General features: G+C 58.7%; 2 protein-coding genes across 18 annotated transcripts in view, besides 6 other annotated features; one reads left to right on the top strand and one right to left on the bottom strand.

The window, feature by feature from the left end:
• The window catches only part of TNRC18 (trinucleotide repeat containing 18), a 117024-nt gene extending 115346 nt beyond the window's left edge, over nt 1–1678 (top strand). For all 15 annotated transcript variants that reach the window (XM_017012737.3, XM_047420983.1, NM_001080495.3 and 12 more), the window contains one exon: nt 177–1678. In XM_017012737.3, coding sequence (XP_016868226.1) covers nt 177–383 — 207 coding nt within the window. In that variant the 3' untranslated portion in view covers nt 384–1678. The remainder of the gene's footprint in view (nt 1–176) is intronic.
• SLC29A4 (solute carrier family 29 member 4) lies at nt 1577–25546 on the bottom strand. 3 transcript variants are annotated; one of them, NM_001040661.3, is made up of 11 exons: nt 25407–25546; nt 20504–20683; nt 17626–17757; nt 17252–17365; nt 16668–16796; nt 13555–13629; nt 11291–11553; nt 9363–9501; nt 9062–9249; nt 7827–8067; nt 1577–5692 (listed from the first exon to the last, which is right to left on the bottom strand). In NM_001040661.3, exons 2-11 carry the CDS (start codon nt 20670–20672, stop codon nt 5550–5552), a joined length of 1593 nt encoding a protein of 530 aa, NP_001035751.1. In that variant the 5' UTR covers nt 20673–20683; nt 25407–25546; the 3' UTR covers nt 1577–5549. The 3 variants fall into 3 exon arrangements, with proteins under 3 accessions (NP_001035751.1, NP_694979.2, NP_001287776.1); NM_153247.4 differs by having other exon boundaries at nt 20504–20680; NM_001300847.3 differs by having other exon boundaries at nt 13555–13624; nt 16668–16759; nt 20504–20680.
• Nucleotides 11600–11709: a silencer, noted in NCBI's record as "silent region_17913". NCBI's record gives its function as "represses an Ori minimal core promoter by ATAC-STARR-seq in GM12878 lymphoblastoid cells {active_cell/tissue: GM12878}" and the evidence as "EXISTENCE:reporter gene assay evidence [ECO:0000049][PMID:35858748]".
• Nucleotides 16357–16651: a silencer, noted in NCBI's record as "tiled region #3727; HepG2 Repressive DNase matched - State 14:Gen5', and K562 Repressive non-DNase unmatched - State 23:Low". NCBI's record gives its function as "represses a minimal TATA promoter and a strong SV40 promoter by Sharpr-MPRA in HepG2 and K562 cells {active_cell/tissue: HepG2 | K562}" and the evidence as "EXISTENCE:reporter gene assay evidence [ECO:0000049][PMID:27701403]".
• Nucleotides 23257–23551: a silencer, noted in NCBI's record as "tiled region #9837; HepG2 Repressive DNase matched - State 1:Tss, and K562 Repressive DNase unmatched - State 12:CtcfO". NCBI's record gives its function as "represses a minimal TATA promoter and a strong SV40 promoter by Sharpr-MPRA in HepG2 and K562 cells {active_cell/tissue: HepG2 | K562}" and the evidence as "EXISTENCE:reporter gene assay evidence [ECO:0000049][PMID:27701403]".
• Nucleotides 23540–24106: an enhancer, noted in NCBI's record as "H3K4me1 hESC enhancer chr7:5324014-5324580 (GRCh37/hg19 assembly coordinates)". NCBI's record gives its function as "activates a minimal SCP1, AML or CMV promoter by ChIP-STARR-seq in primed H9 embryonic stem cells {active_cell/tissue: H9 hESC(primed)}" and the evidence as "EXISTENCE:reporter gene assay evidence [ECO:0000049][PMID:30033119]".
• Nucleotides 24107–24672: an enhancer, noted in NCBI's record as "H3K27ac-H3K4me1 hESC enhancer chr7:5323448-5324013 (GRCh37/hg19 assembly coordinates)". NCBI's record gives its function as "activates a minimal SCP1, AML or CMV promoter by ChIP-STARR-seq in naive H9 embryonic stem cells {active_cell/tissue: H9 hESC(naive)}" and the evidence as "EXISTENCE:reporter gene assay evidence [ECO:0000049][PMID:30033119]".
• Nucleotides 25472–25621: a silencer, noted in NCBI's record as "silent region_17912". NCBI's record gives its function as "represses an Ori minimal core promoter by ATAC-STARR-seq in GM12878 lymphoblastoid cells {active_cell/tissue: GM12878}" and the evidence as "EXISTENCE:reporter gene assay evidence [ECO:0000049][PMID:35858748]".

The following is a 26728-nucleotide window of genomic DNA, read 5'->3' as shown; positions in this document are numbered from 1 at the left end:
TCGGTCTCTGTCTCTCTTTTGTTGGTCTGTCTCTTACTCAGCCTCTGTCTCTGACTTGGTCTCTGTCTCAGTCCCTGGGGCTCCCTCTGCTTCTGTCTCTGTCCCTGTGGCTCCCTGGGGCTCCCTCGGCCTCTGTGCCCCCCACCTGCCATCCTGATATCCCCGCGTGCCCGCAGCGCGCGCTATACCAGTCCTCGCATGTGGACGAAAATGACGTGCAGACGGTGTCGCACAAGTGCCTGGTGGTGGGCCTGGAGCAGTATGAGCAGATGCTGAAGACCAAGAAGTACCAGGACAGCGAGGGCCTGTACTACCTCGCGGGCACCTACGAGCCCACCACGGGCATGATCTTCTCCACGGACGGCGTGCCCGTGCTCTGCTGAGCCCGCCGGGCCCTGCGGGCCACCTGTGCCCCGAGGGCGGCCAGGGACCCATCTCCATCACTGCCATGGCGCGGAGACCACGTGCGTTGTGTGCATGCGAGCGCTCCTGCAGGCGTGTGCATGGGGCCAGGTGTGCACGTGGATGCCCGGGTGAGTGTGTGTGCATGCACGTGTGTGCACGCATGTGCACATGCCTCCAGCCCCACCTTCCAACCCCTCAGTGCCCCCAGGACAGGGGCCCCTCTTAGCTATCAGGGTATGGCCGGACCGGCCCTTCCTGCCCAGCACGTTGCAAGCACTTGGCCAGGCCGGCCCTCCAGGCTGCTGCTGCGTGGGGGCCCGGGTGCCCCCAGGTCCATGCAGACTGGGGATTCGGTGGGGAGGGGCGCTTCTAAGGAACCAAACTGACGCTCACTCTGGGCTTCCCAAGCACCCTTAGCATGGAGCCCACCCCAAGGCCTCCCACCGTGCATGGGACAGGGCAGCCCGATGCCAGCTGGCCTACCTGACTGTGCCAGGGGCCCTGCCCCCACCCTCTCAGGATGGCCTAGACTTGGGGAACAGAGCCGGGTGGGGTTGCAGCCCGGAGTGTCTGTCAAAGGCACCAGGTGGAGAGGGCCCGGCACAGGCCCACCCTGGTCCAAACCCTCACACTACAGAAAACCCCAATGGTGCTGAAACTGTCGCCCGGCCACGCCTGGCCCCTCCCCACCCAGGAGGGAGGTGGCACTTCTTAACCTGTACAGTTTTATTGTACCAAGAGACTCGCCCCGCCCCTGTATCATAAGCCTTTAAATGGAGTCAACTTTTTAATTATATATATAAAGATAAATATATATAAATATATATATAAACTTTTTAAAACTGTGAAAAATAGCTATGAAATTATAAAAAAAAACATTCTGACGTGCAGAATATTATTTTTTATTTCCTGTTAGATTATAGTGTCTAGCACCGGCTTCACCGGCCTCCCAGTCCCCAGCACACCCCCCGCCCACCCCACCAAGTGTACTGTACTCACCCCCCAGGATAGAGAAGTGTTTGTTAGGGAGAGAAGAGGGAGAGGCAGGAGCCGGCCCAAGCCCAGGGTCCCTGCTTGGGCCCCAGAAAGCACTTAACCAGGCCCCAAGCCTTCAAGGGAAACCAAGGCCTCAACCAGACAATCTTGAGGGAAGGAAAAGCCAGACTTTGGGTTTGTTTTTTGGGGGAATTATTGGTTTTTTTTTTTATGTTTCTTTTGGAATTTTGTTTGTTGGCAAATTCTGTGTGATCTTTTTTCATAAAAAAAAAGAAAAGATTTAATTGGAAAAATAAAATTGTCTGGAGTGGTTTATTTCAGGGGCTGGAGTAGGGGTGGTGTCTGGGGGCATTCTGCCATATCAGGGCACCAAGAAGCAGGATTCGACTGGAAGAAGTTGGGTGCCACGCGTGCAGGGGCGGTGACCCCATGCAGCCATCTAAATGAGCTCATCGGCTGGGCACAGTGGCTCACGCCTGTAATGCCAGCACTTTGGGAGGCCAAGGCAGGCGGATCACTTGAAGTCAGGAGTTCGAGACCAGCCTGGCCAATATGGTGAAACCCCATCTCTACTAAAAATACAAAAAAAAATTAGCCAGGTGTGGTAGAGCGTGCCTGTAATCCCAGCACTTTAGGAGGCCGAGGCGGGAGGATCACTTCAGGCCAGGAGTTTCAGACCAGCCTGAGCAATGTGGTGAAACCCCGTCTCTACTAAAAATACAAAAATTAGCCGGGTGTGGTGGCCCACACCTGTAATCCCAGCTACTCGGGAGGCTGAGGTGGGAAAATCACAGGGACCCGGCGGGTGGAGGTTGCAGTGAGTTGAGATCGCACCACTGCACTCTGGCCTGGGGGTGACAGAGATTGTCTCAAAAAAAAAAAAAAAAAAAAAAAAAGAAATTGAACAAATTTACATGAGAAAAAATTAAAAGTTAAGTTGGATGGGCACGGTGGCTCACGCCTGTAATCCCAGCACTTTGGGAGGCCAAGGGAGGCGGATCACTTGAGGTCAGGAGTTCAAGACCAGCCTGGCCAATATGGTGAAACCCCATCTCTACTAAAAATACAAAAAAATTAGCCGGGTGTGGTGGAGCGTGCCTGTAATCCCAGCTACTTGGGAGGCTGAGGCAGGAGAATCGCTTGAACCCACGGCAAAGGTTACAGTGAGCTGAGATCGTGCCACTGCCCTCCAGCTGGGGTGACATAACGAGATTCCATCTCAAAAAACCAGTGCCAGGCATGGTGGCTCATGCCTGTAATCCCAGCACTTTGGGAGGCTGAGGCAGGTGGATCACCTGAGGTCGGGAGTTCAAGACCAGCCTGACCAACATGGAGAAACCTCGTCTCTACTAAAAGCACAAAATTAGCCGGGCATGGTGGCACATGCCTGTAATCCCAGCTACTCGGGAGGCTGAGGCAGGAGAATCGCTTGAACCCGGCAGGCAGAGGTTGCAGTGAGCTGAAATCGAGCCATTGCACTCCAGCCTGGGCAACAAAAGCGAAACTCCTCCAAAAAAAAAAAAAAAAAAAGCAAAGCTGCACATTTCCAGCCATGCCTACCACAAAATGATACTAGAAGAAAATGATACTAATGCTAAGAGTGGCCCCAAGCCCTCACCTAGATGGGGGTGGACGGCATCTCTGCACTGGGGCCTAGGGAAGCTATAGGTGGGGGTCTGGCTGCCCAGTGACTGACCTGGTTAGTGTGGGTGGCCTGCAGAGGACATTCGGGGCTTTGCAAAGAGGGTAACCCATGGAGGGCAGCCAGCCGGCCTCGGGCAAGGGAAGGGCCCGGCATGGGCTCTGGGAAACACTCTGGTGTCACCTGGCGCAGTCTTGGCCCAAGTGGCCGCCCACCTGGGCCCCAGGGAGGATGCCTGCCAGAGCATAGGTGGCCCTCGTGCCCTCCTTTACGGGACCCACATCAAAACCTGGACCAGCCCCATTCCTTGGGGAAGCTAAGGACAGAACAGGCCAGGCGCAGTGACTCATACCTGTAATCCTGGCACTTTGGGAGGCCAAGGCAGGGGGAACACTTGAGGCCCAGACTTTGAGACCAGTCTGGGCAACAGCAAGACCCCATCTCTACACAAAATAAAAGAATCTGGCCAGACGTGGTGGCACGCGCCTGTATTCACAGCTATTTGGGAGGCTGAGGTGGGAGGATCACTGGAGCCCAGGAGGTGGAGGCTGCAGTGAGCTATGATGGCACCACTGCACTCCAGCCTCAGTGACAGAGCGAGAGCCTGTCTTGTAAAGAAAGAAAAAACAAAAATGAGGCACAGGACGGGTGCAGTGGCTCACACCTGTAATCCCAACACTTTGGGAGGATGAGACAGATGGATCACTTGAGATCAGGAGTTCGAGACCAGCATGGCCAACATGGTGAAACCCGGTCTCCACAAGACAAATTAGCCAGGTGTGGTGGTGCGTACCTGTAATCCCAGCTACTTGAGAGGCTGAGGCAGGAGAATCGCTTGAACCTGGAAGGCAGAGATTGCAGTGAGCCAAGATCGTGCCACTGCACTCCAGCCTGGGTGACAAGAGCAAGACTCAGTCTCAAAAAAAAAATAAAAAAAGAAAGAAATGAGGCACAGAACAGTGCAGGATTTTGTCCAAATTGCACAAATCAGCAAAAGGGATGAGGCTCGAAGCCAGGAGGCTCTGACTCCTAGGATGCAGTGCAGTCCCTGAGGGGCAGGGGCCAAGCCCCGCCCACTTTGTTTCCCCTTCAAATGGGCTGCATGTGGCCATCCTCCCTGATCCTCACGAAGGGGTGGGGGGGGCGGGCGGTCAAGGTGAGCGACAAACCCTAAGTGCTCCCAGCTCTCACCCCACTACCCAGCGCTGCCCACAAACCAAGCCTACCCAGTGTGAGGACACCCTCCTGCTCCCTGATCCACCCGGCCCACCTCACAGATGGGAAGACTGAGGACCGGCTTATGCGGGGCAGCCCGAGTTCCACCGGTATCCCGAGATGGCAGTCCCAGCCCCCGTCCACGCACAAACTCTGCTTGCAGGCGGCGGTGCAGCGGTCTGCCTTCATCTTTTAATGGCCGGTGCGGTACAGTTAGTGGACAGACGGGGGATGGGACACAGCAGGGGTGAAACAGGGCAGTCACAGCCGGGGCCGGGGATCTGGAAGCGGGGGCGGTCCTCCCCCTGGAAACACCGTCTCTGGAAGGACACCCTTAGGATCCCCTGACCTCAGGGTGCCACCCACACGGGCCTGGTGTTCTGGGAGGCCCGGGCTGGACTGACCCCCAGCCCCTCCCTACGTTCCAGGGACCCTTGGGTCTGTCGAGTCCCTTGCTGGATGAGGGTCAAGACCTAGGTCAAGCTGACTTCAGCCAGGGTGTGGGGGCCCGGCTTCGTAGCCCCCAGACTTACCTCCCCTCTTCTATCCCGGGCCAGGAAGGCAATGGGAGGGCTCCCTAGTCAGGCACAGCCCCCTGACCTGTGGCATCGTGTGGGTGTGTGGGGAGGTCCTGACGTGCCCAGCTGGCATCACTGCTGTGGTTTCCCAGAGGCTGATGCAGACCGCAGGCGGGTCCATTCGGACCCAGGGCTCCGACTCCTTCATGGCTAACGCGTTATGTTTGGGAGAAGCAGTCTCTAAGAATGAGGACAGAAGGGGAAGCCCTGAGGGTGACAAGGTGGGGGGCTGCCCCTCTCCTCTCAGGGCTCCAGAGTTCATGAGGAGGGGTCCCTGGTGGAGGCTGGGCCAGGCGGTGCCCCGATCAGTGCCGGTGGGTGATGAGGGCCGGGGTGCAGTCACTGGGCGCGCACACTCTGGCGGGTGTCTGCTGTCCTGGGTGGGGACACGGTGCGTGTGACCCTGCAGAGTGCTGGCTGGGCTGGAGCCGGGGCCGCTGGACACAGATGGAAGGTAGACGCAGGTATGAGACCAAACGCAGAACACAGTGCTGGCCAGAGCCCCGGGTCGCAGAAACGTGTTCCGGTCCTCGGAGGACTTTGCAGAACTTCAGTCCAGGGTGGGGCATGGCTGGACCCTGAGGGAGTGGGGCTGCTGGCACAGGGGGAGGCTCAGGGCCCCGCAGGCACTGAGGTGGGGACAGGGGAGGGGCCCTCAGGCCTCGGGGCCCCTGGTCAGGCCCTCGGCGTCCCTGGCAGTGGGCGGGGCTGGCTCAGAGGCCTGCGAGGATGGAACCATTGGCGGTGGAGGCGTGCAGGCAGCTGCCGTGAGCGTCGCGGGTGAGGCTGTAGGTGCAGTAGGCCACGGCGGACCCCAGCGTCAGCCCTGACATGTAGGACACGGTCATGGTGTTCCCTGTGGACAACACCAGCCTGAGGGGAGCAGGGCCAGGGCGGCCACCTGGTGGCCACGGCTGCTCGGGTGTGAGGTGCGGTGACACCCGCCTGAACCGTGCCGCCCCTCCAGGACCCGCTGCCCCATCGCTCCTCCTGGGAGCACCCTCTCCGGATCCTGTCCTTCCTCATTCCTTCTTCCCGAGGCCATCTGCTATGCACTCCAGGCCTTGCCTGCCTTCTCTGAGTCCCCCAAGCCCCCATTTTTAAAATTTAAAGACAAGGTCTTGCTCTGTTGCCCAGACCGGAGTGCAGTGGTACAACCATAGCTTCCTGCAGCCTTGACCTCCTGGGCTCACGCGATCCTCCCACTTCAGCCTCCCGAGTACCTGGGACCACAGGCATGCACCACCGTGCCTGGCTAACCTAAAAAAATTTTTTTGTAGAGACTCCGTCTTGCTATACTGCCCAGGCTGGTCCCAAGTGATAGTCCTACCTTGGCCTCCCAAAACACCGTCCTGAGCCAGTGAGCCTGGCCCTAACCCTCCCCATTTTAATCTCCAGTCTCAGCCAGGTATGGTGGCTGACACCTATAATCCCAGCACTTTGGGAGGCTGAGGCAGGCAGATCACCTGAGGTTAGGAGTTCGAGACCAGCCTGGCCAAGATGGTGAAATCTCACCTCTACTAAAAATACAAACATTCGCCAGGTATGGTGGGGGGCATCCATAATCCCAGCTACTCAGGAGGCTGAGGCATGAGAATTGCTTGAACCTGCGAGGCAGAGGTTGCAGTGAGCTGAGATCGTGCCACTGCACTCCAGCCTGGGGAACAGAGCAAGACTCCATCTAAAAAGAAAAAAAAATCTCCACTCTCCGACTTGCAGCTTCCTCCCTATCAGGAACAATTTGGGATGTCCCATGGGCACCTGGAACGTACCAAGTCCCAAACCCAACCCCAACCCCTCCCAACGAGGCCTCTTCCCATCTCAGTCTGTGCCAGTGCCAGCCTTCTTGCCTTGAGCAGTGGACCCCAAACCTGGAGCCCCCTTCCCTCTCCCACACCCTACCTCTCAACCCATCAGCCGGTCCTGTGGGCTGCCGTCCAAACAAGACCTGGAATCCGGCACCTCCCAGTGCCACGTTGACCTCCTCCAGGTCTGAGCCCCATTCTCAAGGGCCTGGACTGGTGAAGTAGCTCCTCACTCACCTCCATGCCCACGGCAGCTGGAGGGATGCTTTATCAACCATCAAACCCCGTTCCTCTTCTGCTCCATCCCCTGGCCTCAGTGCCGCAGGATCTTTGCACATGCTGCTCCCTCTTCCTGGATGCCTTTCCCTTGCATCCTCACATGGCTATCTCCCTTGCTACCTCCTCCAGGTCTTTGCTCACAAGTCACCTCCTCAGTGAGGTCTTCCCAGATTGCTCCATTTACACTGCTGGCTCCCGAGCCTGACTCTCCCATCCCATCACTCCTGTTTCTCTGCTTTATTTTTCCCCATAGGACTTACTGCCATTCAACCAGTCACGCCGATCTGGGATTTTTTTTTTTTTTTTCCCCAGACAGGATCTTGCTCTGTCACCCAGGCTGGAGTGCAGTGGCGTGATCACAGCTGCAACCTCCAACTCCTGGGCTCAAGTGATCCTCCCATCTCAGCCTCCCGAGTAGCTGGGACCATAGGCGCACGCTACCATACCCAGCTAATTTTTTAAACATTTTTGTAGAGAGGAGAGGCTCTCACTGTGTTGCCCAGGCTGGTCTTTAACTCCTGGGCTCAAGTGATCCACCCGCTTTGCCCTTCCAAAGTGCTGGGATTGCAGGTACGAGCCACTGTGCCCGGCCTGGGCTGCCTCCACATCTGGACAGTCAGTCCCACAGCACGGGGAGCGCCGTTTTGTCGCCACTGTGTCCCCGGTGCCTTGAAAAGCACTTGGTCCACAGGAGGGGCTCACCAAGTAGTTGTGGGATGAACGAACGAATAAATGAGTGAATGAAGTGGCTGAGAATGTCCCCACACCTACGGCCTCCCAGACACTGACTGTTCTGAACCCCCGGAACCCAAATGCACCTTCCTGCGGTCTAGCCTGGGTTTCCTCGCGAGGGGGGCATTGCGCTGCTGGGAGGACGCCCCCACCCCCACGTCCCGCGGGCCTCACCTGCCAGCTCCCGCTGCTTGGGGCTCACTTTGCCTGCCGCCAGGATCATGGGCACGCTGCCGAAGTAGCCGTTGCTGATGCCCATGAGCAGTGAGAAGATGCAGGGCCAGGCGGGGTGACGGAGGGCGGGCATGCCGCTGGGGTAGACGCACAGGATGAAGAGGGGGATGAAGACCACACGCAGGCAGGAGCAGGCCAGCAGGTGGGTGCCCCGCCAGTCCACGGGCAGGGCTGCCAGGATCTGCAGAGAGCCAGGCAAGTGGGCGCCCTGTCCCGGCCACAGCCCCACTCGCCTCACACCCCCGACAGCCTCTAGCCACATCCCCATCCCTAAACACTCCTGGGCCTGTCCAGCTCAGCCTGCACCCCTGCCCTTCTCCGGATCACCCCTCTAAAAGCCCCCCAAATTCCACTTACATTTTTTTCCCTTAGAGTCAGTGTATCGGTCTATCCCCCAAGCTGGAGTGCAGTGACACGATGGTGGCTCACTGCAGCCTCAAACTCCCGGGCTCAAGCCATCCTCCCACCTCAGCCTCCCGACTAGCTGGGACCATAGGCACGCACCACCACGGCTGGCTGAGTGATTTTTTTGTTCGTTTGCTTGTTTTTTTGAGACAGAGTCTCGTGCTGTCACCCAGGCTGGAGTGCAGTGGCACGATCTCGGCTCACTACACCCTCCACCTCCTGGGTTCAAGCGATTCTCCTGCCTCAGCTTCCCAAGTAGCTGCGATTATAGGCACGCTCCACCACGTCCATTTAATTTTTGTATTTTCAGTAGACACGGGGTTTCACCATGTTGGCAAGGTTGGTCTAGAACTCCTGGCCTCAAGTGATCTACCCATCTCTGGCCTCCTGAAGTGCTAGGATTACAGGCATAAGCCACTGCACCTGGCCATTTCTTTGAGCCATTTCTGAGTGTCCCTGCCTTCTCTGAGTCCCCTCTGGGGCATCCTCCTGTGCTCATCCCCAGGGGACCTGTGATCGTGAGGCGAGAGGGTGAGGGCCACGCCTGTCCTCCCAGATGCAGCTGACACTCCGGAGCGCCCCAGTGGGATCAGGCCAGGGCCGCCCTCCAGAGGACACTGTCCAGGATGGCGCCACTGCACAGCTCTTGCCCTTTCCACCTGGGAGCCACATGCATCCTTCACTCAGAACCCTTCCCGGATAGGCCAGGGCCTCCCTTGTCACCCCCACCCCATGGCGTCCCCCGACACCGGGCAGGGCAGGCAGCCCACCTTGCCCACGAAGTCTGACAGGTTGAACACAGCCATGATGAGGATGGGCAGCCACTCGCCCAGGATGCAGTGGCGGATCTCAGACTCGAGGCCGGGGAACAGGCACAGCGTGATGAAGTAGGTCACGGCGATGGAGAGCATGTCGGCCCAGATCACCCGCGCCACCACGTAGCGGTGCAGTAACAGGGCTGGAGGGTGGCGGGCGGGGGTCAGAGGCAGCGCCCACGGGGACCCCTGCCTGCCTCCCCCACCCCCTGCCTGGGTGCCAGAGCCAGGGCAGCAGAGGACTCCCCGCACTCACCTCTGAAGGTGGGCCAGCTGCGCTGGACCCTTGGCCGCGGCACATCAAAGCGCATGTAGGCCCCGCCGCTGCCGGTCACCTCGTGGGCTGGGCTGTCCTTTGGGGACTCGTTGGGGGCCAGGGCCGGGGCTGGGTGCTCCTGGAGGGAGGATGGAGTGGGATGGGGTTGGAGTGGAAGGGAGGACAGGAGACACGGGCCAGGAATCCAGGCCCAATCAGAAGAGCCGCACTGGGGCTGGCGCTGACATTCAGGTGGTACCTACTGTGTGCAGACACCCCTCCTCCACTTTATCAAGGTCTCTCACTTCACATTTCTTTCTTGTTTTAGAGAGAGGGTCTTGCTCTGTTGCCGAGGCTGGAGTGCAGTGGTGCAGTCACAGCTCACTGCAGCCTCAACTTCCTGGGCTCAGGCAATCCTCCCACCTCAGCCTCCCAAGTAACAGGGACTACAGCCATGCGCCATCACCCAGGCCAATCTTTTTTGCCGTTTTCTTTTTTGTAGACACAGGGTCTTGCTATGTTGCCCAGGCTGATCTCAAACTCTTGGGCTCAAGCGATCCTCCCACCTTGGCCTCCTGTATAGCTGGGATTGCAGGTGTGAGCCACTGCGCCTGGCTCTCTCTCACACTTCTGATGCAGCAAATTCCATCTCATCATTCCTGTGAACCCTCTACCAGCCTCTGACCAAACCAACCAGAGCATCTGGTCCCCTATGACCTCTCTGCTTTTCCCCTCCTCCAAACACACGGAGCTCCTCCCAGCCTCTGACCCACCGCACACGCTTTTCCCTCTGCCCCAACACGCTTCCTGTGGGTCAGGTCTTAGCCCAAAAGCCCCTCAGGGAACTTCCCTGACCATGAGAGGGACGCACCCCTGCCCTGGCTTGTCCCCTTCCATCCTGGGCCCCTCTCTGGGTCTGGGGGCTCCCCTGGGGATGGTGTTTCTGGCTCACTTCAGCGTCCCCAGCCAAGGGCCCAGGTGACTCACTGGATCAAGGCCTGCATGACCATTCTGGTTCCCGACCCTCAGGAACGAGGACCAATGGCTCCCTCGCCCCGCCTCTGCATGGCCTGGCACTCCTGACCTCACCCTGCAGGTGTCCCCAAGCCTGTACAGCTGCCGGCCCTGAGCCTGGGGGGCTGTGCAGTGCTGCTGCCACCAGAAGGCACCCCAGCCCCCCAAGGACGTCTGCCTGCCCAGGGATGGTGGGATAGGGCACCTCCTGGCAGGGGCTGTCTGTGCTGGGGACCCCGTAGGGGCAGTGCCTCTGTGCTATGACAGGGAAGCCCAGCAGAGCCAGGGGCCACAGAACCAAGCCCCTGGCCCTCCCTCTCCGCCTATCCCCACCTGGGAGACCACTCCCTTTCCTGGCTGGCGACTTCTGTGGGAAATTCTGGGGGCCCCGCCACATTCCCTCAGGGAAACCAGGGTTATCCCTGAGCCCTGACTTCCCTCCTGGCGTCCCGACTCTAGGGAGGAAGGCTGTGAGCTTCCTAGAGAGTTTGCTGCCAGGCTGAGCCTGCAGGAGGACTCTCCAACGTGGGTTGGCGCAGCCAGGAGGGCTGAGACCCTCAGAATGAACGTGGGCTGTCCCAGGGATGGAAACTTTAGTGTACATCATGTGGAGTGTCACTAAGGACAGGGGCCATGCACGCCCCACGCCGTGGGGCACAGCAGCTGGGCAGATCCCCGGACCACAGATGCGGGTGGAGTGGGGCCTTAGGCCACGAGACGTGGGGTGCCAGTAAGAAGCCACATCAGTAAGAGTACACAGAATAAAGGAGGCTGGCAGGAAGGAGTCTCCACCACAGGAGGAGACCACAGTCTGGGATGCAGGTGAGAGGCTGGGCCCCAGGTACTTCCCGACGAAGCGGTGGGGACAGAGAAGGGGACAGAGAAGGGAACAGAGGTGGGCGGTGCGCACTTACGAAGTGGACGTCCCCGGCGACAACGTCGTGGTGCACGCGGTAGCCATAGCCCCTGCCCAGGCCTGGCCTGCCCCGGTGGCTGTCACGCGGCCGTGTGGTATAGAAGAGCACGAAGCGGCTGCGCCGCACTAACAGGTGCAGCAGGAAACACAGCAGCTCCAGCGCCACCGACACCAGGAAGAAGATGAGCGTGCTGGCGCGCTCGTCGGGCAGCAGCAGCTTCGTGAGGATGCGGCTCAGAGAGATCATCACGCCCGCCGTGCCTGGGGGGCGTGCACAGTGGGCCGGGGCCTGATCCGCCCAGCTCCCTGCACCGCCCCGTCCCGCCCCAGCCCCGTCCACACACAGACCCCTCCCCACCGGCCCCGCCCTCCACCACAGGCCCTGCCCCCACCCACAGGCCCCGCCCTCCACCACAGGCCCTGCCCCCACCCACAGGCCCCGCCCATCACCGCCGGCCCCGCCCACTGCCACCACCCCACTCCCGCAACCAGACCTGCTCCACCAGCCCCTTCCAGCAATTCCTACAATGAGTGGCCCAGCTGCCTCCCGCCCCCACTCAGCTCCGCCCCCACTCAGCCACGCCCAGCTGCATCCCACCCCACCCCCCGACTCAGCTTGACCCCACCCAGCCCCGTCCCACCCGCTCCCTCACTCCCCACCCCACCTCCCTTCCCAGCCCCACCCCCTGCCGCTCCCTCTAAGTCCTGAGTCCCGTCTCTCCCGCCCCAACTCCGGGTGCCCCCAGCTCCGCCCCAGCCACAAGAGGAGCTGCCCCTCACAGCAGCCCCACCCCGACGCCGCTCACACACCCCCACCATGGGGCATTTACCCAGTGCCTGCCGTGTCGCTGCACCCTCCTGCTCTGAGGACGCAGTAGGGCCACGATGACACACGGGCGCAGGGTGGGAAGAGGATGGATGCAACAAGATGGTGCGTGATTCAGGCAGGGGGCAGAAAGGAATGGAACAGAGGGCGCGCAGAGGTGGGGGGCAGTTAGAGGGCCCCTGTCCCGATGGGGACCTTTGACGCGGAGGTCTGCAGGACAGGGCCGGGAGTGCAGCCTGGGGACGGGTGTTCCTGGCCAGGGGCTGCTGTGAGCTCAGTGCTCATGTTTGAGGCGCTGGAAGCCGCCATTAGGGTCACGAGGCCGGGAGGGAGGGCCTTGGGGTGGGCAGGCTGTGGGTTTTTTCTTCGCGTGACCATGCGCCACTGCCCAGTGTGAGGCAGGGTGGGTCAGGGCCATGGTGGGCCATGGTGGGCCACCCCGTGAGGGTGGACAGGGCTCTGAGCATGTCTTTTCTGCGCGGCCCTTGACTCCATAAACCACGCGACATCAGTGTGCCGGCACAATTCTGCACCCTCTCTCGCTCGGCCACACCACAAAATCTACCTGCCAGCGACAGGAACCAGGACCTCCCACGTGGGAGTCTGGAAGCTCTGGGGCATCTGGTGGACCTCAGCACCAGGCAGAGGGTTGCAGAACGCCCCCAAGGGGAGAAACGAGCCAGGGCCAAGTGGGTCTTGACCTGGGCTTCCGCTTCCTGCCTGGGCAGCACTGACCCCGGGCCAGTCCAGGCACAGAAGGAAGATTGGGAACCCTGAGAGGGAGGGGCTTCCACGCACACAGTGCCGGTACCCGGGGCCAGTGCTGCCCCTCTGCAGGGGCTGGAGGCCAGGGGACAGACCTAGGACTTGGAGAAGGGCCGGATGTCATGTAAGGTTCAGGCGTGAGCAAAGGGGTGCCATTTGCTGAGAAGGGGTGGGTGTGATTGGCAGGGTGGGTGGAGGAGACGTGAGTTTGAGAAGCCCGTGAGACACCCACATGGGGTGCTGACCAGGGGGTGGCTTGTGTGTCCGTGGCTGCAAGGAGAGCGCGGTGCTGTAGGCATGGTGTGATGTGCATGACATCACGGCCATGGACGGGGCCCACCTCCTAACACACGCGCACACGCAGACTTACCAAACACACACCCAGCCACATGCTCAGAGACATAAGCTTCCCCGATCACAAAGGATCACACACCCCAGAAACACAGCACACACATGTGTGGGCCCACATGTCCCTCCCATGTGGGAGTGCACCCCTTTTCTACCCCCAGCCAGGCCAGGAAAGATGGTGATCACTGTCCCTAGCTCAGTCTGCCCAGGGATTGTGAGCCTCCCTCCCAGACCGGGGAGCATCATGGGGAGTCCCTGGGAAGAAGCTTCCAGAGCCCAGGGCAGCCCAGCACCCCCTCCCCGGGGGGTCTGCAGATACTCACTCTCCCCGGTCATCACCCCCTGCGTGTACCGCTTGGGCAGCATCCCCGTGTACCCGTAGAAGCTGGATTGCTGCACTTAAGAGAGAGAGAGAGGAACAACCCAGAGGCACCATTATCACCTGTCAACTTGGGAGAAATGCACTAGAGAACTGTGTTGGTGGACGAGGGTGCGTAAACAGCCGTTAACACCACTAATGGCAGAGAGATTTGACACGCAGCAGTAGGAACACCAGCCAGTGTACCCTTGGGGTCAGCCAGGGTCATTGACAAGCTCTGACAGATGAAACGTCTGCAGAAATGACACGTCACTACTGGGCAAGGCAGTGAAAAGTCTGCATGGACTTTCAACCTTTCTTCTTCCCATGGGCAGGGACAGGAGAGGCCATGTGTTACGGGGTGGGGAGAGGACTGTCTGCCTGAGGCCCTGAGAGACCGTATGGAGCATAACACCCTTCACCCTCCAGAGAAGACAGGCAGCAAAAGTGAGAAGTCAGGCTTGTTCTATGGAACCACTGAGATTTCTGGGCTATTTGTTATACAGCAATAACCCCTCTCATCCTAACTAATACAGCCAGAAATCCATCAGGATCTAGGGAAAATAGAAGTGCACAGGCCCCTACCTTGGAGTCTAGCAAATCCAGCCCTGGAAGTAGCCTCAGGGGCAGTCTTTGTCTAACTAAAATCTTCTGGTCAAGGCTGGGCATGGTGGCTCACACCTGTAATCCCAGTGCTTTGAGAGGCTAAGAAGGGAGGATTGCTTGAGTCTAGGAGTTCAAGACCATCCTGGACTACAAAGTGAGATCTTGTCTTTACAATTTTTTTTTTTTTCCAGATAGAGCCTCGCACTGTCGTCTGGGCTGGAGTGCAGTGGTGCGATCTCGGCTCACTGCAACCTCTGCCTCCTGGGTTCACATGATTCTCCTGCCTCAGCCTCCCGAGTAACTGGGATTACAGGCACACACCACCACACCCGGCTAATTTTTTGTATTTTTAGTAGAGACGGGGTTTCACTATGTTGGCCAGACTGGTCTCGAACTCCTGACCTCGTGATCTGTCCGCCTCAGCCTCCCAAAATGCTGGGATTACAAGCATGAGCCACCATGCATGGAGACAAAAATTTTTTAAAAATTAGCTGGGTGCAGTGGCCTGTGCCTGTAATCCCAGCTATGTGGGGGGCCTGGCCTCTCCCTCGAGCCCATGAGGTTGAGGCTGCAGTGAACCATGATCCCACCACTGCACTCCAGCCTGGGCGACAGAGTGAGACCCTGCCTCTAAAAAAATAAAATCTAGTCACAGCATTTTTTTTGTTTTTTAACAAAACAGAACAGTAGTATTGGGAGTATTAGTTCACGAAGGCTTGACATCATTTATAAATACACACACGTGTTTACAGGGCCGTAATATAAAATGTATTGCTTTCTTCCTGGAAGTCATGGTCAAAAAGAGTTTGAAAGTCTACCAAGCTGGCTAGGCATAGTGGCTCACGCCTGTAATCCTAGCACTTTGGGAGGCTGAGGCAGGCAGATCACAAGGTCAGGAGTTCGAGAGCAGCCTGGCCAATATGGTGAAACCCCATCTCTACTAAAAATACACAAATTAGCCAGGTGTGGTGGCGGGCGCCTGCAGTCCCAGCTACTCGGGAGGCTGAGGCAGGAGAATCCCTTGAACCTGGGAGACGGAGGTTGCAGTGAGCTGAGATCGTGCCACTGCACTCTGCACTCCAGCCTGGGGGACAGAGAAAGACTCCATCTCAAAAAAAAAAAAAAAAAAAAGAGAAAAAAAAGAAAGTCTACAAAGCCTGGCCTGGACCCTTGCAAAATGTCACTACCATGAAACACAGGGGTGGGTGAAGGACCGTCCCGGATTAAAGGAAAGGTATGAATCTAGAGAGGATGTTGGGTCAGAAAAAAAAAAATGCTATAAAGAACATTATCGGGGCGGGGTGCGGTGGCTCACGCCTGTAATACCAGCACTTTGGGAGGCTGAGGTGGGCGGATCACCTGAGGTCAGGAGTTCGTAATCAGCCTGAGGAACATGGTGAAACCCCGTCTCTACTAAAAATACAAAAATTAGCCTGGCATGGTGGCGGGCACCTGTAATCCCAGTTACTTGGGAGGCTGAGACAGGAGAATCACTTGAACCCGGGAGGCGGAGGTTGCAGTGAGTTGAGATGGTGCCACTGCACTCCAGCCTGGGCGACAGAGTGAGACTGTCTCAAAAAAAAAAAAAAAAAAAAAAAAAAAAGGAAAAAAATGTCTTGGCTGGTAGAAAATACACTCTGAAGTATTAGTAATTAGGCAAGAAAGGTGATGACATCTACAACTAACTCTCAAATGGTGCAAGGGAAAATATGTATTTTATATTTATATATACTTAGGGAGAAATTTAAGTACAGAGAGACGGGGTGGAGGGAGAGGGGGAGAGAGTGCTCGTATGGGACTTCACTGTATCATTCTTGCAAGCTTTCTGTAGGTTTGAAATTTTTGCAAAATAAAAACTAGTTTTCAAAAAAAGTTTGAAAGGCCAGGCACGATGGCTCATGCCTGTAATACCAGCACTTTGGAAGACCGAGGTGGGAGGATTGCTTGGGGCTAAGAGTTCAAGACTAGCCTGGGCAACACAGAGAGATCCCCGTCTCTACAAACAATTTTTAAAAATTAGCCAGGCTTGGTGGCATGTGCCTGAGGTCCTAGCTACTCAGGAGGCTGAGGTGGGAGGATGGCTTGAGTCCAGGAGGTTGAGGCTGCAGTGAGCTATGATCATGCCACTGCACTCTAGCCTGGGTGACAAAGTCAGATCAAAGCCATTGCCCAAGATAAACAGTGACATGGTGACAAAGGCAGAACAGTCTTTGAAGCCCTGTTTATACCAGGGAAACCAGGGGCTGCCTCAGAGTCTCTGTGGCTACACGCTGCGCACACACTGCAGACACACTACACAGGCTCCTGTGGGTGTGAGCCGGTGTGCACGCTGGCATGCAGGTGGACACACACCTGGCACCCAGCCAGCCCGGTTCCCATCATGTCACATGCCACCAGCAGGAGACCAGGGCTGGGGTGGGATGGGGTCGGAAGTGGGCACTCAAGGCCTCCCCCTTGGGCCCCGGTTCCTACCTGTGCAGCCGAAGGCCACGGTGCCCACAGCGGCCAGGTTGATGGCGTAGGCCTGGTCCCGAGAGAAGAGCTGCAGCCACACGTCGCAGATGCTGATAAAAAGGAGAGGGCCCAAGGCTAAGAGGTAGCCTGTTGGGGGAGAGGCTAGTGAGGGGAGTGGTGGAGCCAACTGGGTGGGGTCCCCCTCCTCCTCGCCCCTCCTGCAGAGTCGCTCTGAGGCTTTCTCTGCCCTTCCCCTTTAAGGAGGGCCAGGGATGCTTTACGAGTCTAACAGGGGCACCTGGAGGGCTTCCTGTAGGAGGCACCATTTGAGCCGGGCCTTGAAGCTGGATGTTGCCGTGCAGAGGAATGGGAAAGGAAGAACACACTGGACGTGGGGAAGAGCTTGGGCAAGGCCCAGGGACATGACTTGGGGTACAGAGGCCCCACCACGGTGTCTTACACCAGACCTCAGGGCAGCCCTAGGAAGTGTGCCCATTTTACAGACGAGGGGAGTGAGGCTCAGGGAAACTGGGTGAGTGGGTGACCGGCCAGGCAGGTGGAAGCCATGACAGGCAGGTGTCCCGTGGCGGGGCCCAGCGCACCTGCGGTGATCCTGGTGTGCAGGGTCAGTCTCTCCACCAGGACGTTGTTCAGGAGGACAGCTGCCAGTGCCACCAAGATGTAGGTGAGGCTCATGTCAAACACGATGGAGGTCCCTGCAGAGGGCCAGAGACAGCAGGTGCTCAGGGAGGCCCCACCCCCTGCACTGACTCCTGCCAGGTGAGACCTCCCAGAAGGGGCTCGCTGCCCACAGAGGGTGAGTGGCTGCCCTGAGGTCACTCAGCAGCTCACAGTGGAGCCGAGATCTGAATAAAACAGGTCCCCGTGTAGGACCCTCCCCGCCGGGGGTTTCTGGGAGGCCCCAGGCCATGATGGAGGATGCTGAGTGGCTGGGCGTGACCGTGGAGGGACCCACCTGGGTACTTGTGATGCAGGTAGTCCACGTCCGTGATGAAGCTGTTGTATGGCAGCAGGAAGCCCACGCCAGCCAGCAGCATCGCAAAGTAGATGGCGTGATAACGGTCATCGGGCACTGGCTCGTCCAATGCTAAAGCCAGAGACACCAGGTGAGACGGGGCACGCTCCACGCATGGCTACAGTCACCGCACAGGGCGATGTCCACCACCCCGGCCGCCATCACCATAGCCACTGTCCATCACCGTGACCCCTGCTCCCCTCTGTTCCAGATACCTCTGTCATCTGGCCATTATCAAAAGCCACCAAATACTGTGGCTACAGCCACCACACCCACGCCCTCACAGCCACTGCAGCTGCCAGCTTGATGGACAGGAAACCAGCTCACGTCTGTAATCCCAGCACTCTGGGAGGCCAAGGCGGGCAGATCACCTGAACTCAGGAGTTCGAGACCAGCCTGGCCAACATGGTGAAACCCCATCTCTACTAAAATACAAAAAATGGCCAGGCGCCGTGGCTCACAACTGTAATCCCAGCACTTTGGGAGGCCAAGACGGGCGGATCACGAGGTCAGGAGATCGAGACTATCCTGGCTAACACGGTGAAACCCCATCTCTACTAAAAATACAAAAAAACCCAAAAAATTAGCCAGGCATGGTAGTGGGCGCCTGTAGTCCCAGCTACTCGGGAGGCTGAGGCAGGAGAATGGCGTGAACCCAGGAAGCGGAGCTTGCAGTGAGCCGAGATCGCGCCACTGCACTCCAACCTGGGCGACAGAGTGAGACTCCGTCTCAAAAAAAAAAAAAAAAAAATTAGCTGGGCATGGTGGTGCACGCCTATATTTCCAGCTACTCAGGAGGCTGAGGCAGGAGAATCATTTGACCCCAGGAGGTGGAGGTTGCAGTGAGCCAAGGTTGGGCCACTGCACTCCAGCCTGGGCAAGAGCACGAGACTGTTTTCAAAAAAATAAAAAATAAAATTATAGGATATGGAAGGAGAAGAGTGAACACCCTTTGCCTGTCCTTCTGGGGAAGGGGTCAGCATGTCTGGGGTTGTACCGGGTTCTTGTATCATGCTCGGTGGCGGTATGACCTTGTCACTGCCTTTATCTGGAGAGGAGGCATGGTTTAGGGAGCTGTCTATGGGAGCCACACCGGCAAGGGGGGGACCGTGATGGTCTGTTTATGGTCACCTTGACAAGCTGAAGTACAGTCCCCAGTTCCAACCCTAGCCCTGGTGCTGCTGTGAAGGCGTTTTGCGATTAAAGTCCCTTCTCCATTAACTTTATCAAAAGGGAAATTACCCTGGGTGGGTCTGACCTAATCAGGTGAGACCTTGGGGACTTCCTGGAGCTCAGAGACTCCAAGAAGCTCCTGCCCGTGGGTTCCAGACTGTCCATGACCTTCCTGACTGCCTGCCTGGCTTAACTAGCTCCCACTTTAGTCAGCCAATTGCTTTTTTCTTTCTTTTTTTTCAGAGTCTCGCCGTTGCTCAGGCTGGAGTGCAGTGGCATGACCTTGGCTCACTACGACCACCCCCTCCTGGGCTCAAGTGATTCTCCTGTCTCAGCCTCTGAAGTAGCTGGGATTACAGGCGTGTGCCACCACACCCGGCTAATTTTTGTATTTTTTGTACAGACGAGATTTTGCCAGGTTGTTCAGGCCGGCCTCAAACTCCTGGGCTCAAGTGTTCCTCCGGCCTCAGCCTCCCAAAGTGCTGGGATTATAGGCATGAGCCACCGTGCCGAGCCTTAGCCCAGGTTTCTGAGCCTAAAGTACTAGCATAAACAGCAGCTCTCCAGAAAAGAACTATAGCTTACAGGGTGCCTCCTGAGTGCCAGGGACAGGCCCAAGCAAGATTCTGTGGATTCTGATGCAACCACACTGACACAGTATCATCTCCCTTTTCCAGAAGAAGACACCGAGGGTCACAGAACAACACTGACTTGACCAGGGGCTCCTGGTGGGTAAAGGATGGGAGGTAGGCTTGAACCCGAGCCTGTCAGACTCCAAGCCTGTGGGCTGTCCACTCTGCAAGTCTGATCTCAAAGTCAGTTGGCCCAATTCTTCAATGTGGTGAAACTAAGGCTCAGAGAGGTTTAGGCCCTTGCCTAACGTCACACAGCTGGGCTGAAAACCCAGGTCTTTGAACCTCACATCCAGTCCTATTCAGGCACTTTCCTGGCTCCTTTGCAGTGAGGCATAGCTTGCTTTGGCCAACGAGTGTGACCAAAGTGACATGTGTCACTCCAGATAGAAGCTTTATGGGTCAGCGGACGGGCGCGGTGGCTCAAGCCTGTAATCCTAGCACTTTGGGAGGCCGAGGCGGGCGGATCATGAGGTCAGGAGATCGAGACCACGGTGAAACCCCGTCTCTACTAAAAATACACAAAATTAGCTGGGCACGGTGGCAGGCACCTGCCGTCCCAGCTACTTGGGAGGCTGAGGCAGGAGAATGGCGTGAACCCAGGAGGCGGAGCTTGCAGTGAGCCGAGATTGCACCAGTGCACTCCAGCCGGGTGACAGAGTGAGACTCCGTCTCAAAAAAAAAAAAAAAAAAAAAAAAAGAAGCTGTACGGGTCAGCGCATGAGCCATGGTCCCTTCACCCACCCAGTGAGCACAAAAGCCCATGTTAAGACAGAGCCTCCTCTGCCTGGGGCTGTCGGCAGGGCCCCCAGCAGGGACATGCAGCATCAGGGCGGAGACACTGAGAAGGTGGGCGTGTTTGTTATGCAGCAGATCTAATCCACACTGACAGGCACTGCCTCCAGTCCTCCATGACCACCCATGGCTCCCCGATACCGCAAGGCTTCACTGGGGGTCACACAGCCCAGCCTGCTTTGGGGCAAGACCCGCACCTTGCCCGCACGCCTACTTACTAGTATCCGTGAAAGCTGGGACGCCCCTGGCCCTAAGGCCCTGGCCCTGAGCCGCCTCCGCCGCCTCCTCCAGCTGGTGACTGTCGAAGGTGAAGCTCATCACTACGCCCGGGTCTGGTGTGCCTGCCACGCTGGGCTCCTCAAGGCGCTGGCTCCCCACGGAGCCCATGGCAGCCTCTGCTTTGGAGAAAGCAGAGAGAGCAGGTGAGGGAAGAAGGCTGAGGGATCCATGGCTCATGCACTGACCCATAAAGCTTCTACCTGGAGTGACACATGTCACTTTGGTCACACTCGTTGGCCAAAGCAAGCTATGCCTCACTGCAAAGGAGCCAGGAAAGTGCCTGAACAGGACTGGATGTGAGGTTCAAAGACCCGGGTTTTCAGCCCAGCTGTGTGACCTTAGGCAAGGGCCTAAACCTCTCTGAGCCTCAGTTTCACCACATTGATGCCATGCGGCCGGGACTGTATCCCCTGGGGGGACCGTCCTTTCTATCCATCCAGAGGACATTAATTTAAGCAGATAAGCAATGTCACCTGGTATGTCTTTTTTTTCTTTTTTTTTTTTTTTCAGACAGGGTCTCACTCTGTCACCCAGGTTGGAGTATGGTGGTGCAACCATCACTCATTTCAGCCACGACCTCCTGGGCTCAAGGGATCCTCCTGATTCAGCCTCCCAAGTAGCTGGGACCACAGGTTCGAAACACCATGCCTGGCTAATTTTAAAAAATTTCTTTTGTAGAGTTGGGGGTCTCACTACATTGCCCAGGCTGGTCTCCAACTCCAACTCCTGCCTCGGCCTCCCAAAGTGCGGGGGTTACAGGCGTAAGCCACTGAGCCACTGCGCCCAGCCCTCACCTGGTGTGTCTCAAGGTGCTCATCCTCACTGCTATCTAGGGAGAAGGGGTCAGAGGGGAGGAGAATGGCTCAGAGACTGCTGTCCCGGGGAGCAACCAAGGTGGCCTGCATGGTGGCAGTGGGCACGGTGAGAAATAGATGGAGTGGAGGAATACTTTGGCGGTACGATGCCAGGACTTGGGGAGCAGTTGGAAGTAACAGGTGACATGAGTGAGCCTCACGCGTGCCTGCACCGCGCTGCAGTGTCCTCTGGGAGGAAGCTGCCTTTATCACTCATTTTTCAGCTGAGGAAAGTGAGAAACCCCTTGGTCTCACAGGCAGAAAGTGGGAGAACCCAGATCTCAACCCAGGTCTGTGTGGCACTTTGAGCCACGATGGCCCTTGGTCCTGGGGCCAACCACCCTTATGGCGGGAAGTTCTTCCTGTGGTCTTGCCTCAGTGCTTCTTGCTTCAATTTGGATCTGCCAGCCCTGACCTTCGGGAGGAAAGGAAGGAGCTAAGTCATCTGTGATGGAGACGCTTGCACTGTGTGGGCAGCCCTGTGTGTGCCTGAGGCAGGCTAGCTTTTTCCCCTAAAATGATTTTTTTCTTTTTTCTTTTTTTTTTTTGAGATGGAGTCTTGCTCTGTCGCCCAGGCTGGAGTGCAGTGGAGCAATCTTGGCTCGCTGCAACCTCCGTCTCCTGGGTTCCAGCGATTCTTCTGCCTCAGCCTCCCGAGTAGCTGGGACTACAGGTGCCCGCCGCCACACCCGGCTAATTTTTGTATTTTTAGTAGAGATGGCGTTTCACCATGTTGGCCAGGATGGTCTCGACCTCTTGACCTTGTGATCTGCCCGCCTCGGCCTCCCAAAGTGCTAGGATTACAGGCCTGAGCCACCACATCCAGCCTATGATTTTTTTCTAATAACGTGTATTCATTTATCTGAATGCAGAAAGGATCTGTGCTCGTCGTAGGGAGTTTGAGGCTAACAGAGAGGACAGCACAGCACTGAGTGCTGAATGTAGTGCCTCAGTTTCCCCAGTATGAAGGAGAGCCGTGGTAAAGGCTGGAAGAAGCCCACCCCATGGGGTCCCACAGGCCCAGAGGAACCTTGATTTTTTTGTTTTTTGTTTTTTTTTCTGAGACAGAGTCTCGCTTTGTTGCCAAGGCTGGAGTGCAGTGGCGCGATCACAACTCACTGGAGCCTCTGCCTCTCAGGCTGAAGTGATCCTCCCACCTCAGTCTCTTAAGTAGCTGGAACAGGTGTGTGCCACCAGGCCCGGCTAATTTTTTTCTTTTTTGTAGAGATGGGGGTCTCACTGTGTTGCCCATAGTGGTCTTGAACTCCTGGGCTCAAGTGATCTTCTCGCCTTGGCCTCCCAAAGTGCTGGGATTATAGGCATGAGCCACTGCGCTCAGCCCATCCTGATTTTCTCTGGGGCTGACCCATGTCACCTCTGCCTGCTCTTGTCCCATCTCCTGGGTCTCATTTCCTCCAGCTCCCCTGCCTCAGTTTACTCCCTTCCCAGCCTCTAGGCAGGTTTTCATGATCAGTTACCAAGCACCTCCCTGTGACCCCATGTCCCCCTCTTCTAGCTCACTACAGAATTTTAACTGGGGCCTAAAAGGGGGCCTGGGGCCTCACTGGGGCTTTGAAGCCAGAGCCTTCCCATTTCCAGGTCTTGGGGGCTGGGGAGATTCAGCCCCTGACAGCTGGGGGCCAACGCAGGTAATTGGTACCCACTACCAGGGGAGAGGCGGTCCCGGACTTCTGGGGGCTGAGAAGCCCAGCGTGTCTCCCCTTCTAGGCTCAAGGCTCCCCTGACTGCCCCTCGTCAGCCCTGGCCGTCCTGCCACATCTGGAGCTGGGGGGTTGGGGGTGGGGTGGGGTGGCGGCCGAGCAGGGCTTAGAGCAGAGCTGGGCTGGGCTTGAACGAGGGTGGCTCTGGGCGGGCTCCGCACACCTGTCTCCCCTGTGAAGTGGACACAGGAGCCTGAGCTCAAGAGTCGTTGGGAGGCGCCAGAGAGTCAGCAAAGGCTTAGAGACCCCGGGGCCCTTCTTCAGCCTGCAGAGCCAGGAAAGGGGATGGTGTCAGGGTGACAGTCTACAACAATCAAATGCTCCTCCTGCCACCTGCTCAGGATGCCAGCCCAGCCCAGGAGGACATCTGAACCCAGAAAGGCCTGGTCTGTGTTCAGCAAGAGCCCCCAAGATGCTTCCCTGGACGTGCAGTGCCCTGAACACTCCTGGCCAGAAAGCCGAGGTTTCTGCCTTGCCCGGAGGCCACGCCACCCAGGAAGGCGGACGTGCTTGGCATCCAGCCAGGAGGCGGCTGCTGTCCCCTCTGGCTTAGTCGGCAAAGTGGGCAGCTGCCACCCACACTGCCCGGCTTGGCCAGCCACTGTCCCCATGGTGGAGGGGGTGGGGACCCTGCTGCAGCCGCTCTCCCCCACCTTTCCTGGGCCACAGGCCTCCAACTCTGTCCTTCCCGGCCCCCCACATCCAAGCCTACTGCGCCCCAGGGAAGGCAACCCAGGGCCTCCTGCCCTGTCCCCCCTTAGTTAAAATTTAACGACATGCACACTGGCTTAATAACTCCAGTGTTTACAGGGCTTGGCCCTGCTCCTCCACTCTGCGCTGCCGTGACCCCTTGATGCCTGACCCAGGGGGCCCTTGAGAAGACACAGGTCATTTTTTTGGCCTTGAGGCCACCCCTCAGGCCTCAGTTTCCCCACCTCACAACTCAGTAGAGGAAGAAGAGGGTGAGAGTACGTCACAAACAGGGACTGGGTGGGTGGCTGGTGGGGTAGGCTCAGCTGCACACAGTAGGCATTCAACAGTTGCACAAGCTGCCACTTAACACTGCTATGGGCAAGGCAGGGCTCCCACCGCTCTCCCCCATTTATTAATTTTTTTAATTTCTATTTTTGTAGAGGTGGGGTCTTGCTCTGTTGCCCAAGCTGGCCTTGAACTCCTGGCCTCAGGTGATCCCTCAGCCCCGGCCTCCCAGAACCAAGATTACAGGAGTGAGCCACTGCTTCTGGCCAAGGCCCCTCACCACTTTGCAGGGAGGGCGACTGAGGCACAGAGAGGCCAAGTCGGGGGTGGGGGGGGGGGTCGTGCAGCTCAGACTGGAGCCTGGCCCAGTGACCCCCTCCGGCTCCTCCCATTTCCACTGGGCCTGAAGTGCACAGTGGCCCAGGGCAGCTGGAAGCGCTGGGCGTCGGGACCCCAAAGCCAGTCTGGCCTCACTCGGGGGCCGCGCTCCTCCGGCCAGCCAGGAAGGACCAGGGGAACCGAATTCCACTTGGAAAGCGGGCCTGGGCTCGCACTCCCGGCTCAGTCACCAGCCCTGGTTAGTTGATGCCTGGTACACCCCTGGTCCCCGTTAACCGGGGCTAACGATGCCTCTGCTGCCCTTTCCGCAGCCCAGCGGTCTAAGCTGCTCCAACTCCTGTGGGGGTGGGTTACAAGCCCCTCCGGCCACCCCCTTTCTGCAGCCCCCCGGGGACCGATGCATGCAGGGGCCACAGGCTGGCCCCCCGGGCCCACCGCCCTCCCCGGCCCGGGTCGCCGCGCCTTTCTGCCGCCTGTCCGGCCTCATCAGCCGCAAAGTTGGCTCGCGGACCTGCGCCCCCAGGCAAAGGACAGACCCCCTGGGCCGTCCCGAGGTGACCCCGGAGCCCAGGCCCCGCCTCTCCCGGCCGCTTTTTCCGAGAACGAGGAAGGGGCCGGCGGGGGCAGGGGAGCGATGGGGTGGCGCGGGGGGGTCCGGGGAGGAACTTCGTGCGGGAGGACCCCCGCGCGGTGCTCAGGGAGGCGGTGGCGCCGACCCCCTCCATGGCGAGGGCCCAGGGGTCCGGGTCCGCGCTTGTCGCCGGGCGCGGGGGGCTGGGCCGCTCAGGACGCGGCCGGGGTGGCCTCGGGTTCCCGGGACAGGGGCGGGCTGGGGAGAGGGGGCAGCGCCCGGGCGGGCGGGAGGGGGCGGGGGAAGCCGCGCGCGCCGCAGACAAAGGCTCCGACAGGTCCCCGCCGGCGTCTCCCCGCGTCCCGCGGCCACCGCTTACCTCGGCCCGGCCCGGCCTGGGGTCCTCGGCGCGCCCGCCACGCCGCCCCGCTCCCCCAGCCTCGGGCCGGGCGCGCCCGGCGTCCTCCGCCGGTCCCCGAGTCCGCCCGGCCCCGGTCCACGAGCGCGGCGACGAGCACAGCCCAGGCCACCACGCCCCGCCTCTGCCCGCCCCCCGCGCCCGGCCCCGCCCCTCCCTCCTCCTCCCCCCTCCTCCTCCCTCTTCCCTCTCGCTCCTCTCTCCTCCCTCCCCCTCCCCTCCCCCTTCCTCACCCTCTTCCCTCCTCCCTTCACCCTCCTCTCCTCCCTCCCCCTCCTCCCCATTCCTCCTCTCTTTCCCTCCCTCTCCATTCCTCTCTTCTCCTCCCTCTCCCTCCCCTTCTTCCTCCTCCCCATTCCTCCTCCTCTCTTCCCCCTCTCCCTCCTCCTCCCTCCCCTTCTACCTCCTCTCTCCCTCCTCCCCATTCCTCCTCTTCCCCTCCCTCTTCCTCCACCTCCCACCTCTTCTCTCTCCTCTCCCCTTCCTCTCCATTCTCCCCACTCCTCCTCTCTTCCCCTTCCCTTTCTCTCCTCCTCCCTCCCACTCCTCCCCCTTTCTCTTCCCTCCCCTTCCCTCCTCCCACCCCTCCCCTCCTCCAAAGTCCTCCATTACCCTCCTCCTGCTCTCCTCCCTTCTCCCCTCCCCTCCACCCTCCTCCCTTTCTCCTCCTCACTCTTCCTCCCTTCCTGTCTCTCCCCTCCTCCCTCTCCCTCCCTCCTCCGCTTTCCCCATTCTCCTACTCAGTCCTCCCTCTGTCTTCCCTCCCTCCTCCCTTCTACCATCCCCACTCCTCCTCCATCCTCCTCTTTTCTCCCCCTCCTCCCTCCCTCTCCTTCCCCTTCCTCTTCCCTCCCCTCTCCCCCATCTTCCCCCTCCTCCCCTCTGCTCCCATCTCCTTTCTTCCTTTCTCCCTCCCCCCACCCTTCCATCCAGCTGGGCTGTGCAGGCGCCAGGCCCAGGCTGAGGCTGAAATCAGGATCCCCAACACACCAGGGTGCGGCATGGTGGCCCCGGGAGGGCCGGGTGACCTGCGGCTGACCCAGCCCACCACCCCCGCTGCCCACCCCTCAGCCTTGGTGCCCAGGCTGCTCCCCCTCAACAGATCCACTCGCCTGGGAGGCCAGCAACGCCGCCAGTGGGTGGGTAGGTTCAGTCACGAGGCCACTGGGTGACCAGATTGAAAGTTTCGAAGGACGGGTAGGAGTTCACCTGCTGGAGAAGGGGCGGAGAGCAAGTCCAGCCAGGAGTGGGGGCTGTGGCCGACCCTCAGTCATGCCCTGCCC

Source organism: Homo sapiens, chromosome 7, assembly GCF_000001405.40.
Source record: "Homo sapiens chromosome 7, GRCh38.p14 Primary Assembly".
In the NCBI taxonomy this organism is placed as follows: Eukaryota; Metazoa; Chordata; class Mammalia; order Primates; family Hominidae; genus Homo; species Homo sapiens.
The sequence above is the reverse complement of the archived record's forward strand: the minus strand, read 5'-3'. Positions and strand labels throughout refer to the sequence as shown.